The following is a 5,304-nucleotide window of genomic DNA, read 5'->3' on the forward strand; positions in this document are numbered from 1 at the left end:
GACCATGCAGCATAGCAGATAAGAGTCAGGTCCTAAGCCAGGTGCAGTGGCTCACACCTGTAATCCCAGCACTTTAGGAGGCTGAGGCGGGCGAATCACCTGAGGTCGGGAGTTTGAGACCAGCAAGACCAACATGGAGAAACCCTGTCTCTACTAAAAACACGAAATTAGCTGGGTGTGGTGGCGCATGCCTGTAATCCCAGCACTTTGGGAGGCCAAGACAGGCTGATCAACCTGAAGTCAGGAGTTCAAGATCAGCCTGGCCAACATGGTGAAACCCTGTCTCTATTATAAATATACAAAATTAGCCGGGCATGGTGGTGTGTACCTGTAATCCCAGCTACTTGGGAGGCTGAGGCAGGAGAATCGCTTGAACCCAGGAGGCAGAGGTTGCAGTGAGCTGAGATCATGCCATTGGACTCCAGCCTAGGCAACAAGAGCGAAACTCCATCACAAAGAAGAAAAACAAAAAACAAGAGCCCTTTTAGTTCTAGCACACCAAAATTCTTTTTTTTTTCTTTTTCTTTGTCTTTTTTTTTTTTTTTTTTTTTTTAGCTAGAGTTTCGCTCTTTTTGCCCAGGCTGGAGTGCAATGGTGCAATCTTGGCTCACTACAACCTCCACCTCCTGGGGTTCAAGGGTTTCTCCTGCCTCAGCCTCCCGAGTAGCCGGGATTACAGGCATGTGCCACCACGCCCGGCTAATTTTGTATTTTTAGTAGAGATGGGGTTTCTCCATGTTGGTCAGGCTGGTCTTGAACTCCCAACCTCAGGTGATCCGCCTGCCTTGGCCTCCCAAAGTGCTGGGATTACAGGCTTGAACTACCGCACCCAGCCTCACACCATAATTCTATAATTATTAATCAAGCCTTCAGCCCTATGCCTTTCTGCTTTCACGCTGTTCGTTTTGCCTGAAGAACCTCCCTGCCCCGTATCACTGCTTGCATTTCATTCACACGTATTGTGTACCTGCCTAGCTCACAGGTCCTCTTTTCCTGGGAGTTTCCCCTCCTCCCTGCAATCAGACACTGAAATGGGTCCCTTCAGCCACATCTGTATTATATGATCCTGTCCTCCTGGCCTTTGATTATTTATTTTTTGTTTATTTATTTATTTATTTTGAGACGGAGTCTCATTCTGCCAGGCTGGAGTACAGTGGCGCCATCTCAGCTCACTGCAACCTCTGCCTCCCGAGTAGCTTGGATTACAGGCGCTCACCACCACGCCCGGCTAATTTTTGTATTTTTAGTAGAGACGGGGGTTTCACCATCTTGGCCAGGCTGATCTTGAACTCCTGACCTCGTGATCCACCTGACTTGGCCTCCCAAAGTGCTGGGATTACAGGCCTGAGCCACTGTGCCTGGCGGGCGTTATTAAACTCAGGGCAAACACTAATGTGAACTAGCTTACTCAGAGTCTCTCTGTCAGGAATTTGGAATGTTGAAATAGAAAGGCACAGAGCCTGGGAGCCCTTAGAGCTGAGTTCCATTAATATCAGCACTCAGGGAGCACTCCCTCTGCAGAAGTCCCTGGAAATCCCCTGATTCCTACTCTTTCACTAAGTAACATAAACCACTATAATTGTGTTTGAGACACTTTTAGGTTCTGGTGACACAAATATCAAGTAAAATGCTGCCTCTGGCCTCCAACAGTTATCTATTGAAATCCTGCCCATGTTTAGAATCACAGCTGAAAAGCTCCCTTCTTCCTTTAAGTTTTCTCATATTCCCCAAGCAGGATTAACCCTTCTCCAGGGTATTGTCATTGCACTTTGCTTTACTTCTCTTACCTTAAGTCATGTCTTTGAGCTTGTATTTACTTATGATGTATTTGTTTGTTTGATGCCTTGAAGATCTTTCTGGATATTATTGTGTTCGTGCAAAGGTAATTGTCGTTTTTGTCAAAGTAATGGCAAAACCCACAATTACTTTTGCAACAACCTAATAATATTTATTTATTTAAACATTTTTGTAGAGATGGGGTCTTGCTGTGTTGCCCACAGTCATCTCAAACTCGTGTACTCAAACAATCCTCCCTCCTCAGCCTCCCACAGTGCTGGGATTACAGGTGTGAGCCACCGTGCCAGGCCACTTTGAGCTATTTTGAACAGCTGCCTCTCCCACTAATTGCAAACCCTTTAAAATTAAGGACTAGATCTGGCTGTCTTTTTAAGTCTCTCAGCTCCTGGCACAGAATCACAAACAGATCATTTGGAAAGACCATCTGTTGTTTTGTCTGCCCATCTTTCTCTCTCTTTTTTTCCCCCTCCTTAAAAAATAAATGAATAAATAGGCCAGGCTCTGTGGCTCATGCCTGTAATTCTAGCACTTTGGGAGGCCCAGGTGGGTGGATCATTTGAGGTCAGGGGTTCAAGACCAGTCTTGCCAACATGGAGAAACCGCATTTCTACTAAAAATACAAAAATTATCTGGAAATGGTGGTGGGCACCTGTAATCCCAGCTACTTGGGAGGCTGAGGCAGGAGAATTGCTTGAACCCGGGAGACAGAGGTTGCAGTGAGCCAAGATTGCAATGCTGCACCAGCCTGGGTGAGAGTAAGGCTCTGTCTAAAATAAAATAATAAAAAAATAGAGACAGGGTATTGCTTTGTCACCCAGACTGGAGTGCAATGGTTTGGGTCATAGCTCACTGCAGCCTGGAACTTCTGGGCTCAAGCAATCCTCCTACCTCAGCCTCCTGAATAGCTGGGACTACAGGCACACAACATCCTGCCTGGCTAATTTTTGTATTTTTTGTGGAAAAAGGATCTTATTATATTGCCCAAGCTGATCTCGAAGTCATGGGCTCAAGCTATCCTCTTGCCACAAACTCCAAAAGTGCTGGGATTACAGGCAGGCGCCACTGCACCCAGCCTCCCTTTTCTATTGGTAACTATATCCCTGTTTTCCTTTGAGAAAACAGCCCTCCTTCACTTGTGATTGTTAAGTTTAGGTGTCAATTTGACTAGATTAAGGAATACTTATGAGGTGTTTCCAGAAGAGATTAGCATGTGAATGTGAAGGGAGGAAGTGGGGAAGATCTGCCCTCAATGTGGGCAGGCACCACCCAATCAGCTCCCCCTAACCCACCATAGAACAAAAAACAGAGAAATAGCTGCGTTGGTCTCTCTCCTGGAGCTGAGATACTCTCCTCTTCTCCTGCCATGGACATCAGAACTCCAGCCTCTCTGGCCTTTGGACTCCAGCACTTACTTATACCAGTGGCCTCCTGGGTTCTCAGGCCTTTGGCCTCGGGGTGAGAGTTACACCGTCAGCTTCCCTGATTCTGAGGCTTTCAGAGTTGGACTGAGCCAAGCTATGGCATCCCAGGGTCTCCAGGTTGCAGATGGCTCGCCGTGGGACTTCTTAGCCTACATAATCAAATAAGCCAATTCCCCCAATAAATTCCCTCTCCTCTATCTACCTATCCATCCATCCTATTGGTTCTGTCTCTCTGAAGAGCCCTGATTAATACTACTCTTAATTCCACATTTCAGGTGGGTTCTACAAGTGATCACATGACCTGTGTTTGGTCAGAGCCATAGTGATTTGGATATGTGACCTATCAGGGTATGACAGCTGAGATTCTGGCTGGACAAATCTGGAAAGAACCCCTCTTCACTGGGGTTGCTCACCTGTTAGTCCATAAGCCTGCTGCTATTTATGGTCACTTTTGCCACCACATGGGAAGAATCTGATTATTATTATTATTATTATTATTTTGAGACGGAGTCTCGCTTTGTCACCCAAGCTGGAGTGCAATGGCATGATCTCGGCTCACTGCAACCTCCCCCTCCTGGGTTCAAGCTGTTCTCTCACCTCAGCCTCCTGAGTAGTCGGGATTACAGGTACCTGCCAAAATGCTGGCTAATTGTTTTATTTTTAGTACAGACGGGGTTTCACTGTGTTGGCCAAGCTGGTCTTGAACTCCTGACCTCAGGTGATTCACCTGCCTTGGCCTCCCAAAGTGCTGGGATTACAGGCACGAGCCACCTTGCCCGGCCCTCTTCCTCATCTTATAAAGTCACTGGTCCCATCATGGGAGCCCCACCCTGGTGACCTTATCTAATGCTAATTACCTTGAAAAGGCCCCACTTCTGATTCTCCTCAACATATGAATGTGGGGTTTCCAACAAATGAAATTTGCGCTGGGTGTGGTGGCTCACACCTATAATCCCAGCACTTTGGGAGGCCAAGGCAGGCAGATCACTTGAGGTCAGGAGTTCAAGACCAGCCTGCCCAACATGATGAAACCCCATCTCTACTAAAAATACAAAAGTTAGCTGGGCGCAGTGGCACATGCCTATAATCCTAGCTAATTGGGAGGCTGAGGCAGGAGAATCACTTGAACCCAGGAGGTGGAGGTTGCAGAGCAGAGATTGCGCCACTGCACTCTAGCCCAGGTGACAGAACAAGACTCCATCAAGAAAGAAAGAGAGAGAGAGAGGGAGAGAGACAGAGGGAGGGAGGGAGAGAGAGAGGGGGAGGGAGAGGGAGAGGGGGAGAGAGAGAGAGAAAAGAAAGAAAGGAAAGAAAGAAAGAAAGAAAGAAAGAAAGAAAGAAAGAAAAAGAAAGAAAGAAAGAAAGAAAGAAATATGGGTAATACATTTAAACCATAGCAGTGCCCGTCACAGGGTTGTGGGGAGATTGAAATATGCTGTGTGGATACAACTGGGATATGTCATGTACTTTCTTTACCGATATTCAGCCCTCTGAGGGCCTCTGATATTCCCCTCCCCTAGGCTGCCTCCTCTAGGCCTATGATTCCAAAGGGTATGTGTGTGGGAAGCTCAGGCTGAGTACAGTAACTGGGTGTGTCTGGAGGGCTAATGCCCTGACTGCAGGGAAGTGGATCCAGGGGGCACAGGGTTACAGACCCTGTATAGACACAGGGTTATAACCATGAAACAGACTATACAACCCGGTACAGACACAGGGTTATAACCATGAAACAGATTGAGGATCCAGGTGCCTTTGAATCCCAGCTCCACTGCTTCCCAGCTATGGCACCTTAGACAAGTCACTGTTTCCTCATATCTAGACTGGGAATGATAATGATAGGCTCTGCCTAGAGGGGCTGTTATGAGATTAAATAAGCAATTCCATACCAAAGTGCTTAGAACAGTTCCTGGTAGAGAATAAGGGCTCAATAAATTGGCAATTATTGTTATCTCCCTGGCCTTCCCCCACCCCAGGCACGTGAGACAAGTTTATACCAACAGTTCTCCCTCCCTCTCTTTCTCTCTCCTTCCCACCTGCCCTCTGTAACCCTATGTAACTGCCTTCAGAGAATACAATCAAACACAGA

Source organism: Homo sapiens, chromosome 17 (assembly GCF_000001405.40).
Source record: "Homo sapiens chromosome 17, GRCh38.p14 Primary Assembly".
Classification (NCBI taxonomy): Eukaryota; Metazoa; Chordata; class Mammalia; order Primates; family Hominidae; genus Homo; species Homo sapiens.